At 32.0% G+C, this 14,683-nt stretch overlaps 1 protein-coding gene across 9 annotated transcripts in view; it reads right to left on the reverse strand.

Annotated features, from left to right (window-relative positions):
* CSMD3 (CUB and Sushi multiple domains 3) overlaps nucleotides 1-14,683 on the reverse strand; it is a 1,214,012-nt gene that overhangs the window by 565,751 nt on the left and 633,578 nt on the right. For all 9 annotated transcript variants that reach the window (NM_001363185.1, XM_017013010.2, NM_052900.3 and 6 more), the window contains one exon: nucleotides 11,484-11,596. In NM_001363185.1, coding sequence (NP_001350114.1) covers nucleotides 11,484-11,596 — 113 coding nt within the window. The remainder of the gene's footprint in view (nucleotides 1-11,483; nucleotides 11,597-14,683) is intronic.

A 14,683-nucleotide genomic window follows, 5' to 3' on the forward strand; every position in this document is an offset into this window, starting at 1 on the left:
CATAGAGGAAACTCTATAAAATATTTTTAAATTGACATAACTTTTAATATTCTACTACCACTCATTCTAATTCTTGGCATGTAGAAACAAAAGGCTTAGTTCTCACAGCAGGTTGGGACAAACAAAATTAAGTTAGACATTTTAGAAGCAGTTGTTTTCTGAAAGAACTTGGTATATTGAATGTAAAATAAAATAAACCTCTAAGTTAATAAAGAGCAAGAACAAACAGAATCAACCTTACTCAAATATAAACATTTTCATGAGTCATGCTTAAAAGCCCTCTTTATTCTGAGAGGCAGATGGAAATGTTATCAAAAAATTCCCACACAAAATATCACATGTGACTTGGTAATTTTTCCTAGGCAAAAGAAATTGTGTCTTACAGACTCCAGGATTTGTTTTTTAATAAAAATTATATAAAGAGACATCTCAAAAGATACAAAAATGTGAAAACCCAAGTCTTTCTTGGCTCAGTGCTAAGAGACCATCATCAGACAATAAGGTATCAAATTTGTGCAGCAAGTTCTGAGAGAGAGTGTCTCAGGATTCATACAAAGAACATTTGTCCCATTTAAGATATCTCAGTTTACTACAATGAATCAATATTGAGTGCAATATTTTTGGATAGCACAATAAATATATCAATATCAAATTTAATAAAAGTATGCTAGAACTCAAAAGAAATGCAGAGACTACTTAATCTAAGCTTCTAGTTTTAGGATATGGAAACTGTCCTTACAGCAAACACTAAATCAGCAATGCATATGGAACACTACAGAGAAAAACAATTATTTAAATAAATGAGTTTTGACTCCAATCTAATTGTATGAACACTGAAATGTATCTGTGTAACATGCTTATATTATGTTAGTATATGACAGATAATTCAGTCACTGAAATGTATCTGTGTAACATGCTTATATTATGTTAGTATATGACAGATAATTCAGTTCCTAAGAAACTAGAAATTTCAGTTTTACTTTTCACTTAATTAAACAAAGTTTTTATTATTGACATAATGCTGTTTTAAAGAAACGTCAAATCATAATTTTAGGATTTTCTATAGATGACTTTGATCCCACTAAATTGGATTTCACTTGAGTTAAAGGATAGAATATGGGGAAATATTTGTAAAATAAAAAAGATATAACTATGCCTTACATAATTTTATTTTACTAAATTGATTTGTACCACTAGAAAACTAATGAATGCATGGGAATATTGGGGAATTACAAACTTTAAACAGTCCTGACAGATATTTATTATTCATTCATTATTAGTTTTCTGCTTTAATACACATTTTTATTATTAAAAGTTAAGAATCAACTTTTAATAGTACAGTAATTATTTAATATTAAAAGCCATTTGGGTTTTACATTAACCAATCTCTTTTACAGATTACAGATTGATATATTTATTTATTGTGGTAAGTACTGTGGGGTTGCAATGATGTATAGTATAGGATCTCTGTTTATATGTGCTAACTAGACAAATAAATATACATAAAAACGACTCTTGCCAGATATCATTTCATTTCTCCACTATACAAATATATGGTGAAAACATTTTTTAAACCTGACTCTAATCAGGAATATAGCAAAGGTAAATCTTGGGATTCTACAAATGGTAGGATTTTTTGAGAAATACTCTAATTAAGTTTTGGAAAATAGCAAATAAATGGAACAAAAGTGAAAAAAAATCATATATATGGAGAAAAAGAAAGATGTTTCCAGTTTCAAAAAAAAAAAATCAGTTCCTCACAAAAGAGCAAGTCAGATATTTCTTAGGCATGTACCATCAGGATTAAGTGGTTGATTATAATGAATTTTCACTTTGTACAACTTTGCATAAGCCTGAGTATTTTAAAGGAAAATGGAAAAATGAATGCAATTTTCAGCCCTTTGTTTGGTGCTTGGATATAAATTTCCCCTATCGTAATCTCTATTATATCTTTGACATTCTTGTTTGTAACCGATATAACCTACTGAGAAAAAAAAGAACAAACCTTCAACTCTGCAGAGTATAACCACTTCAACATTTAAAAAATGAATTGTGAGAATATTTTCTTCTCTTCTACTTACTCATTTTGAATGAAACATTGTTCTTGCCTTTTTAATTGTTGAAAATATTCTGCTTATAATCTTTTTCTTATTCTCTCAAAATAGAAATACCATTGAAATAATACAGCTTACACTAGCGTTCAGTTTGAAATGATAATTGGTAATATTAACACATTTGTTTACAGATTCATTGAGATATGATGAACAATAAACCACTCATATTTAAAGTATACAGTTTGATAAATTTTCACACATATATGCATTGGTGAAACCATCACCACTGACAAGATAATGAACATTAAGGCCAGGCACGGTGGCTCACGCCTGTAACCTCAGGTCTTTGGGAAGCTGAGGCTGGAGGATCACTTGAGCCCAAGAGTTCGAGACCAGCCTGGGCAATGTGGTGAAACTCCATCTCTATAAAAAATACAAAAATTAGCCATGCATGGTGGCACGTGCCTGTTGTCCCAGCTACTCGGGAGGCTGAGGTAGGAGGATTACTTGAGGATCACTTGAGAGAGTGCAGTGAGCTGAGATTGTGCCACTGCACTCCAACCTGGGTGACAGAGGCATATCCTGTGAAAAAAAAAAAAAAAAAAAAAGGAACTAATGTGTCTATCACCCAGTAAAAGTTTCTCCAGCCTGTTGCTAATCTATCCCTTCCTTCATCCAAGTGCCCAGAAAACATAATCTGCTTTCAGTCACTATAGATTTTGTTAGCATTTTCTAGAATTTTAAATAAATAACATCCTTCTCTTTTTCATCTGGCTTATTTTACTCAGCATATTGATATTGATTTTCATTCATGTTGCATGTGTTAAGAGTATTTTCTTTTTTATTGATGAGTAGTATTCTATTGTGTAGACATCCCCAATTTTTGTTATATACTCACCTATAAATGGACATTTGGATTGTTTCCAGTTTGTAGAAATTTTAAAAAATCTACTATGTATATTCTCATACAAGTCTTTATATGGACAATTGATTTCATTTCTCTTGGGAAAATGTCTAAGAGTAAAAAGGCTGGGTTGTGAGGTAGACATATGTTTAAGAAATTGCCAAGCTGTTTTCCAAAATGGTTATACCATTTTTATCTTCCTTCTAACAGTGTATGAGAGTTCCAGTTATTCCGCTTCCTTGCCAAGCCAACATTTTTTAATCTTCACCACTCTAGTGGGTATGTAGTAGTATCTCTTTGTAGTTGTAATTTACATTACCTTAATAACAATGATGTTGAACATTTTTTCATACACTTTCTAGCCATCTGTATCTCTTCTTTGTGAAGTGTTTCATCAACTCTTTTACTGATTTTAAATTGGTTTGTTTGCTTTATTCTGAATACAGGTCCTTTATTAAATATGTTTCTGCAAATATTCTTATCCAGCCTGTGATTTGAAATTCATTTGCTTAACAGTGACTTTTGATGATCAAATACTTTTAATTTTGATGAAGTCCAATTTATCAATTTTTTTAATATCTTAGTTTTCTCCTTTACTATTATAAAATTCCATAGCCTGAGCAGCTTATGTGACAAAAATTTATTTCTCACAATCTGGAGGCTGTGAATTCCAAGATCAGGGTGCCAGAATAGTTGGGTTCTGGTGAGGGCTCTTTTTCTGGCTTGCAGATGGTTCGTTTCTAGCTGTATCCACACATGGTGAAGAGAGACAGAGTGGTCTCTGGTTCATATAAGGGCACTAATCTCATCAAGAAGGACTCATTCTTATGATCTCATCTAAACCTAATTCTTTCCCAAAGGCCTCATCTCTAGACACCATCATATATGGGGGTTAGAGGTTCAACATATAAATTTGGGAGGAATATAAATATTCAGCTCATAACAGATAGCATGCTTTTGGTCCCCTAAGATAATTTTTCCTAAGCTAAGGTAACTAGGCTTTTCTTCTATGTTTTATTCCAAAAGTTGTATAGCTTTAGCTCTTAAACTTAGGTCTATAATACATTGCAAGTTGATTATTGTATATTGCATGAGTTAACAGTTAATTTTTTTTGAATGTGGCTATACATCTGTTTCTGCACCATTTAAAAAATATGTATCTTTTCTGATTCAAATCTCTAGCTTCTTTGTTGAAAATCAATTGGCCATAATATGTGGGTCTATTTCTGAACTATTCATAACAAAAATCTTAAGGGTGAAAAAATCATTTAAAACATTTATAGAAAGTTTACAGAAAACATTTACTACACAATATGGTTTGAGTGATGAGAAACAATTGTTTCTTTCTGCCATTATCAATCATATAAGGACAAAGGAATTGATGCTACTTCTGAAACACGTTAATTTTTCTCATGATTTGAGAACAAAACTGAATGGGAATACAACTTACTGTGTGTATATAAATATGTAAACATATTTATATTGCTAATATATTAATTTAATATATTACATATTAAATTAATATATTAATTAAATATATTAATTTATATACTATATAAATATTATATATAAATATATAATATACAAAATGGCATTAAGACACAGGTGCTAAGATAAAGAAATTTGCTCATGATGAATATATACTGGTAGCAGAAGGTAATCCTCATATTTCTATGTTTCCTTTGCTGAAAAAAAAAGAGCATAGTGAACATTAATTAACTCACATATAACTGTTCCTTCCTGTGGGTACACATTTTTTCTTGGGCCCATCTGCACTGTATTTCCATGTTAACATATTTTTAAAATAAAGAAAGACATGTATCTGAAAGCATTGAACTATAGTATAGACTATTTCTTCTTACTGTTGTTAAAATAAAAACTTGCAGCAAATTAAAATTAACAAAGTTTAACTGAGCAAAGAATGATTCGCAAATCTGGAAGCTCCCAAAACAAACAAACAAAAAAAGGTTTGCAGAGACTTCAGCACTCCTGCATAGTCAAAGATTTATGGACAGAAAAAGGAAAGTGATGCACAGAAAATGGAAGTGAGGTACGGAAATAGCTGGATTGGTTACAGCATGACTGTAATAAAACCTTATTTGAACGTGGTTTGAATAGTTGGCTGCCTTTGATTGGCCAGAACTCAGTGATTGGTAAAAGAAGAAGTCACATCCTGTTTACTCATTCAGGTAAGTTATGGTTCACTGTGTATGGAGAAACCTTTAAGCTGAACTTAAAATATGTATAAAGAGGAAGATTTAGACTAAACTTAATTTAACACTGTGTTGAAATAATTAAACAAAGACATAACAAATGTGTTTATCAGGGTTCATTTAGTTGAGAGGCTAATTTAGTGACAGAAACTGAACTCACCATGTCTTAAAAAAGAAGTTTATAGCCTCACACAATTGAAAGACCAAGTTCCTTTCAGGAACTGCTAAATTTAGGAGTTCCAATTATGTCCACAATGCTATGTCTTTCTTTCTATTCATTGGTTCTGCCATGCCTCTATCAGCAAGTTATTAATATTAAAAAAAAGTTATACCAGTATCACCAAGTGAAATCACCCTTAGAATTTACCACCTTAGAAAAAATATTTTCTTTTACCCAGAAACTATATCAATTGCCCCAGATGCTGGACTGATAAACTTTTTTTTTTTTTTTTTTTTTTTTTTGAGATGGAGTCTCACTGTGTAGCCCAGGTTAGAGGGCAGCGGCGCGGTCTCGTCTCACTGCATCCTCCACCTTCCCAGGTTCAAGCAATTCTTCTGCCTCAGCCTCTGGAGTAGTTGGGATCACAGGCACGCACCACCACGCCCTGCTAATTTTTGTATTTTTAGTAGAGATAGGGTTTCACCATGTTGGCCAGGCTGGTCTCGAACTCCTGACTTCAGATGATCCACCCACCTCGGCCTCCCAAAGTGCTGGGATTATAGGTATGAGCCACTGCGTCCAGCCTGGACTGATAACCTTTCAAAGGGAATTCTGATTAGTTTGGCCCAAACCTGTAGAGCTGTACAGAATTAGGAGAAATAAGGTTTATCAGAGTCTAGAATAGTTCAGTCACTAGTACAAAAAGAAAGAACTGCCAGTCAGGGATAAAAGCAGATGCAGTCAAAGAGAGAAAGAGAAAAAAATTACCCCCTTGAAATTAACGTACCCATAAGTAAAATATCGGTATGCTATATCTTTATTATTTTTTTCAAAGAAACTTTTGTTAAAAAAGAAAATGTACATGAAATGTCCATATATTTGAAAATTATTGTGTATGACCTGGAAATTTTTCTAACAAAATATAAGTGACCAGCATTAATTGAAGAAGAGATCTGAAGAGATTTATAGTCAAAGGAACAAAAATTAAATTTGTTAAATATTTACTTTTAAGTAAAAACGTCCAGATAGTTTTATGGCTAGGGTCTTTCTTACTCTAAAAAACATGTAACTTTTATGTTTGTTATTCATACTATTCCAAGTCACTGACAAATTTCCTGACTCATTCTTTAATACTACCATATTCTAAAACTCAAATTTTATAAAACCAACACAAAAAGAAACTCTAATTCAAATTCACAAATATAATTATTTTAGTCAAACTGTTAGCAAATTGATCCCAGGGTGTACTAAGGGATTGGTCATCATGTTCAAGGTTTTATTACAGAAATGAAAGTTTGTCCCAGTACTGGAAAAAAAAACTATGAATACAGTTAAAGGAGAGACATAATTAAATACATGATTGTGTCAATGGATACAGAAAAATGTTTGACTAGAAGTTAGATGAAATGTATTTGAACTCTCTGCAGTTGGTAAAGATTCTTTTCCACATACCCTTGTCAAATATATTAAATGTTCAAATATAAATTCACTGCCATCCAAAGAAGAATAAGACAGAAATGCTAGCTCTCATCACTATAATTTAATGGAATTTTGAGGGGTCCAATCTTCTCCTACAATAGACCTCTGGCAAAAATTATAAGATTGAGGATGAAGACAAATATGCTGAGGATGGTAGAGGGAATTCAAGAACGCACCTGAGTCTCAGATAAAAATAACATTGGTGTATACCCTCTAGACATGTCATGTGGCAACAGTAAACACATGTTTGTTTAAGCCACAATTAGTTGGGTTTTCTGTAATATGCCAATACATGTCTTCCTAATTATTACAATGCCTAATCATGAAATAATTAAAATTAACAAAAGCATTAAATACTGTGGCCAAATACCACACAAGTATACAAAAATCAAAAATTTTTCTTTATAAAAGTAATAATCAGTTAGCATTCCTAAATAATTCAAGTCTTAAGAAATACCAAGTAACTATATGAAAATAAAAAAAAATGCACACATCTCCTATGTGAAATCAGATGGTTTTTGTCTGTGTGTGTGGTTGTGCATGTGCACGTGCATGCCTATGTTTTATTTTGATGTGTACCTGATGAGCTAAGGGGAGCTCAGTAATTTAACTCAGTCTTTTGGTGTTCTCCTGCTCTTCACACTGATTAGGGTTTCCAGCTTTTCCTAAAAATCTCTCAAAATCACTTAGGATATAATATTGCATAATGGAAAAAAGAATGAAGTCAGTAAACTCAGAGTTGCAACTATATTCTGCAATATGATTATGATTAACCATTCATGTTCATTCATTTATTCAGGCATCCCACAAATATTTGTTGTTTGCTTTCTGTATGTTAGGCATCAGGCTAGATTCTGGGAATACAGCAATAAACAAAGCAGACCAAACTTCCTATCATCATGGTGCTTAAATCCTAGTCAGTTTTCTCATCTGTAAAAATGAGTAATAATTCTTACCTCTTATCGTTCTAATCAGATTTAATGAGTTAATGTAGGCAAAATAATTGGAATATGCAAGGCTCTTCATAACTGTTAATTATTGCTCTAATGTTCCTTAAGCTAAGACAAAGTTGAAAATATATCCAAAAAGTAGCTCAATGTTAATGGATGTTAATGTGTCCATTGAAAAGAACTCTCTTTTTTTCTTGCATTCTGATTAATACGCATTTGGAATAATGACCCTATAAAAACAACAAAACAAAACTAATGTTTCTAAGGGAAATGGGGCAAGGTGGACAGCTAGGTTATACTTCCTTTTCAGCAAGACATTTAGTTCACATCTTAAATAATAGTTTTGGCAAACAAAAAAAATCTCCTGTGAATCAGAATGGCCACGACTTTGTTACATCTACAAGGATGTTACTGATTTTTAAAAGTTAGGAATATCATTAACTACCCAAGAGGTTGGTGGCATTTTATTCATTTATGCTATGGTATACAGTAATCAGCACACTGTCATGAACAGAAACACGAAATGAATCCTAGTTGAATAAAAATTAACTAAATTTAGAATTAAGGACTGTTTTCTTGATTTGCAACATTTGTTGCTTTTTATGTTTTAAAATAGACATTTTCCAAACTCCATAGAAAAAAGCATTCATAGTTCCACAGATTTAAAGCAGAAGTTCTAAAGTTAATGACAACTTAATCAGGTAATTATGTACTATTTTACATTCATACATAAATTTTTGTTCCTCTCTCAATAGTACAGTCTTAGAACAGTCATTTTCAAACTATATGTTTTGGAGTCCTAAGGTTCTTCCTACATTTGGAGGGAATGAGAAGCAATCAGATCAACTGAAGGTACCAAGTCTTCTTCCCATCCTTGTTCTACCAGAGAAGCCCAGCTTTTAATCTTTTTTCTATTTTGAGTTTCTAACAGAAAACGTCATTTGAAATTATATTTCCTTTAAAATAAAGTTTCAAAAACACTCTCTTAATTAGTAAAACACAATTTAGGAATAAAACTATATCACAAAAAACAAGGACTAAATTACACATTTTAGTCACTATGTTTAAAATGTTAAAAATTTGAGACAAACTACTCAATAAATAGATATATTTAATTTAGAGGACATGTACATTTAATACTGTCTCATGCAAAATCTACAGATTACAAAACCAGAAGATATCTTTAGACAAATCTGGAAAGGTTTTTAGCAGGTGTTCCATTTAGAACCAACACACTACTCAACAAAGAGCATGGTAATTATGAAAATTATTTTTAGTAGGTGAACTTGCTAAAACTATGTGCACATCAAAATTTGTAACTTCTCAACGTGAACCCTACTTCAACTATGAGCTCAGGTTTTAAATTATGTAGAATGCAAAAACATGATTTTCACAGTACAAAAAAAATCCTGGTAAACTAAACTTTTGAGGACATATTTTGCTTAGTATTACCTAATTTATATAGGCCTAATATAAATACCTAATTTATATAGGTTCATTTATTCAGTTTAATTGAACAAATAATTATTAGCTACCTATAATGATGGCATGGATATTGCTAGCAGAAATACAAAGACAAGTAAGATATATTTTCTATTTAGTTATATAATACATATGATTCACGGTTTATAAAATAGAGGAAGTGGTCTTCTGTGATGGGTAGAGCTAACGAAGTCTTCATAGAAGAGTAAATATTTGAACTTTGCCTTGAAGGATGAGCGAGAAGGTGCTAAGTTAAAATTAAAAACAGTGATTCAGGTAGATTTACTGAATGTCCAAAGAAGCAGAGTTGTGAAACAACTTGCAGGGTTCAGAGAGTTATGGATAATTTGGTAAAATTAGAGTTTATGGAAAAAGAAAATTAGATGGAGAAAGCTGGAGGAAATGATGTATGGAGATTTTTTATTTTATCTCTAGGGATAAAAAAACAGAATTTTGAGCATGAGAGTAATATGATCATCATTCTGATGCTGGAAGATTATCATTAGTAATGTGCAGCAGGTTGGACTGGGAGAGACACTTCCAGTCTAAGGAAAAGGAGGGAGAAAAAGTAGGGCATTATTCATTTAGAATGTCCTGGGTTGGTTTCAAATATATCATCTCTGTGAATTGTTTAATTACTATTGTTGAAAACTGAGCAGACGGAGAACAATATAATGTTTAATTGTGCTGCTCTACAATGTACTTCCAGCTCTTGAACCGCAGCAGAGGGGAGAACTGTGTAAATATCGATAGAACTCCCTGTTGCTCCAACCTATTCATGAGTTTTAATAAATGTTTCTTGTTCAAGCATTATCATTAATAATTCATACAGTTTCTAATGTTTAAATCACTATAGATTTTCTGACAGGTAACCTTCGTAAGATGGAGAAAATAACAGAAACACAGGAATATAAGAATGCCAGGTTTCCTTAGCCATTTAGAGGGAGAAGGGGAAGAAACAGAAAAAGATACATTTCAAGAAGTATGACGAGGTGAGAGGATCTGTACTCCAAATCAGCATTACACAATATTTCCAAGTAACAAATGTGCACACAGACCCCCTGCATGTAAAATACAAGTTGCCGGAAAAAAAAGACAGATAAATACATGTAACATAAGCCAATTGTTCTTTAAATTTTGTAACCTTGTTTTATTTACTGGGGATAGAGGTGGATTTTAAATTGAGGAGGAATATATTAAAACTATAATCAAGCTAACCTTTTTAATAAACTGGCATTTACATAGATTTCTTGAACTATTCAAATTAATACAGTACCAAATTTAGTCACACAAAAAAAAACACAGAATGAATGTGTTCTGTCTCTCTGACAACATCATGCATTCATTTTCATGTGTCCAGAATCAAAAGCATGACAGTGTTTGTAAGAGAAAATTCTAATTGAAAATTATTATGCAAGTAAAAGAATTTTTCACAGTAATTATTTAATTGGTAAGATAGAAAATAATAATTTTTACCACAATAGTAATGATAATTCAAGCAACATAACATTCTGATGATCTCTTGTATATTTTTGTTTTTAAAAAATAGATTTTTAATTGAGCTTATTAGTAATTTTTTCAGTCAGAATTGCAAATTTGCATTTCTAATATGCACATTGTGTGTATGTATTGGTTTTAATCAAGGTCCAACATGTGTGGAAGATATCTATGACCTCACATGCTTGCATCTATTTCTGATAAATGAAACTAGAATAAAATATTTTGTTAAACACACATAGTTAATCATTGATCTGTATCTTTACTGACACTGGGATGGGCAAAAGCAATTTCACAAATTTGTGAGCTATATTTATATGTTTGATAGATTACAAAAAAAGATTTGTACATTGGAATATTTAGGGATTTCAGACCTTTACTGTTATATTTAAGTATTTAATAATTAGTAGAATCTTTGCCAGGAAAATTACTTAAAGTACATAAAATCACATGTCTATTTTGGGGAAGGCTAGGAGTCTACAGTGATTGAAACACAAGGATAGTATAATATACTGGGAGAAAGATGAGGTATGCAAAATAGACACATTTTAAAGGAAAAACTCATTTTATTTAAAGATAAGTGTAATTAACATTTGTAGTTAAATTAAGGAGGAAATGATCTTTGTTGAAATGTAGCATGTGTTCTGCAAAACTTTTAATTTTGTAGATGCAATTAAACGTGAATTTAAAAATATTCTCTGGTGGTATTAAGATAACATTTCCTATGTAGAAATTAATCATTACCTTTGTAGTTAACCTTGAAACCAACAGATCCAACACTTTCGTCCGTTTGAAGGTGCAGCCACATTTGGCTACTCATGCTCACTATCAAGTCTGGTACAAAGCTTCCAGTCAGCCTAAAAAGAGATGGACAAAGAAGGGAGAGATGGGTTATTAAAACATCCTCTGCATACAAATTATAAGACAGATGTGTTTCTCAATACTTTCTTTGCTAGAAAAAAAAGTCAGATAAACATAGAGGAGTATGTGTTGATGTGACAGAAGAAAAAACTACACAATTTAGTGATCAAGGTTATTATAAAAATATTATTCTGTGTTTAACTAGGAAAGATCTTTCATGTTCCTGAGGCAAGGTCATGATATTTTAGACCATCAAAAACTCCTACACAGTACTTGTCTTTTGAACTGAAAAGAAAAGGAGGATCTATACAAATATTCAAGTATTTTTAACACCACAAATATATCTTAACATTCCCAGTTTCACAGAACTTTGTTCTAGAGAAATATTGTTAAAATATTTCTGTGCAAAACAATAAAGTGGCCAAGAGTATAACCGAACCCTTTGCAATACTGATGTCGAATACACAAGCCTTAAAATATAGTACCTACATTATAGGCTGCCCATGTCACATATGTTTTTCTGTAAATAGTTTTATTTAAAGAAATATGCTGCAAATCTGATGCAGCATAACTGTATCCATTCATTACTAATCCCTCATTCAGTAATGCACAGTTTTGTAACCATAAGAAGGGAAATTACTTCACGTTTTGTCTATCATCAATGATATTGTAATTGCATATTAGAACTGAAGCCAAAGGTCATTAGAAGGATGAAAGCAAATTAGTAAATAAGACCTTAGGTTGCGGGGAAGTCCATCAAGAATAGGAAAGAGGAAAAAATGGATTCACTGCAGAGTAAATGTCCACATTGATAAGAGATTCTAAATTATATACAGAAAGACAGGTTTCCAAAGGAAGAAAATACTGAATGTTTGCCTACTTTATTGCTAAAACCATAAGGATTGCTGGAAAATTACATCAGGAAAGTATAAAGTTTCCTTTCATTGTAAAAACCTACGAGAGTGTTTAGTCTCTTAAATAGTGGCTCTACTATGAATACACCAGCAGAGGGCAGTGTAGTTGACCATATCCTGGAAGTGACTATGGCAGCAAAATGCCCTGTGCGTAGTCAACTATTAAAACAAACCTCATTTGCAGTACAAGTATCTAACCAGTGGCCAGTGTTACAGGATTTATGGGAATTTGTCACAAAGAAACTTGGTAAACTACTATTATTTAATTATGGGATTATATATTACACTGAAGAACACCATAAGATACCAAGATACCATAATGCATCATGGAACTTCAGATTATCTTCATTTCCTTCTTCCTGCCAAAAACCATTTTAAATTACCATAATATAAAACAAACTCACACATATATATTGTCTATATATACACATAATCATTTGAAACATCTTTTAATTAAATTTTGGGGCATGTGAACTTTCAAATTGGTGATTCTTAGGTAGCAGTTTTTTGAGCTACTGTAGAGAGGCAGGTGCAGGTTTATGGGAAAGGGTAAACACTCCAGCTTGGAGGCAGAATAGAAAGTAAAGTAAACCCATTATTAAACGGGAATGAGAGCTTATATTTACATAGCATGTACATCAGCTATACCATATCAAACATACCAGCAAACTACCTCAAAGAGAATACTAAGAGTTGTTTTTCTGGGAAAATTGAAGTATTGCTCTTTTTTACATCCTCCTATAACATTCATAATCCTGAACTGTTCTATTATCCTGAAACTTCTAGAATGGTATTTTGTCAGTTCATGAAGAACAACTAACACTTGCAAGCTAAATTGTTCCCTTACTAACTTATCCTATTGCCCTGATTTCACCTAGTTCCCAACTCATTGCTGGTGTAAGGGTATATGTCATCTAAAAATAATAATAAAATATATATATTTTTAAATTTTCTGATGTCAAAAATTAAAACTCCCCTCAACTTCTCTTTAGCATTTCTTTTAGAAAACTTGAAATTATAAGTTCCATTTATTTTAGATGTATCAAAATATTTTAATAGTTAAATGAGACTTTTGCCAGTTTTTCATTCCTGGAATTTCTCTCTTGGTGGCCTTGGAGCCACCTCTTTAAACTGTGAACATCAAAGAGGATGATGCCCTGTCTCTACTTTTCTGGGGAGTTAAAGCCTAGGTACTTAGTACTTAGCTCTTTGATTTAACTTCCTGCTTGTCATAATGATAGGAAATGTTTTATTTTTTGTTTTGATGAAGGCAATTAACATGTATGCAATGGATTGTATATTCCTAGCTATATATTATTTCTCTTTTTTGCAATCTCCTTAGCAGATTTCCTATGATGCACATCACAGTTTGGTTTAATCCTATTCAACAGAAAAACTGTTTCATTTTTCCCTCCATTTTATGGAGAGCTTTTACTGAGCTGGCAAAAGATTTTATTTTTAATCACATTTCCCCAACTACTTGGTAAAGAGGATTGGGATATGAACGGTAGTTTTGAATTGAGTAGACCCCACAGCAGCCATATTATAATTATAATTATAAAAGTTCTCCCTTCTTGATCTTTGCTTTTTTGAAATAGTATCTGGATAGACCACTCTCTCCAAACTCAAATTTTATTAATTTAAAATTTATTAATTTAAATTTAAAATTTTAAATTTTATTAATGAGTATGCATGGGTAATCTGGACTCAAATCCCATCAGGATTACAATTAACTTTGATGGTGGAAAAATAGGGGAAGCCAAGGATATTGCCTGCAATTCTTTCTCCTAAACAGCTAATATCTCTGTCATATTTGGAATACATACAAGTACCAAACCTTTCAGAATTTGTTATGATTCTTTGACCTCATCCCCAGCAAATGAACTGCTGGCATTTATTGGATACATATTATTCTTGGTGGAAACTTAAAAAGATCTGCATAACTAGAAGGAAAGATTGAGAAGAATGGAAGAGGAAATGGATAAATTAAAGGCACTTTCATTGATTCTTCTTCCTTTTTCTGCTATCTCTGCTCTTTCTGCATCCCTTGTGTCTCTTTATCCTTCTCTGCCTTAGTAGACTCCTGAGAAGATCAAAGCAATGGTGTTTTAGACCTCCAGTTCTCCTAGTTAGTGTATTTCCCTACAAAGGACAAGGCCACAACTTCTT

Source organism: Homo sapiens, chromosome 8, assembly GCF_000001405.40.
Source record: "Homo sapiens chromosome 8, GRCh38.p14 Primary Assembly".
Taxonomy (NCBI): domain Eukaryota; kingdom Metazoa; phylum Chordata; class Mammalia; order Primates; family Hominidae; genus Homo; species Homo sapiens.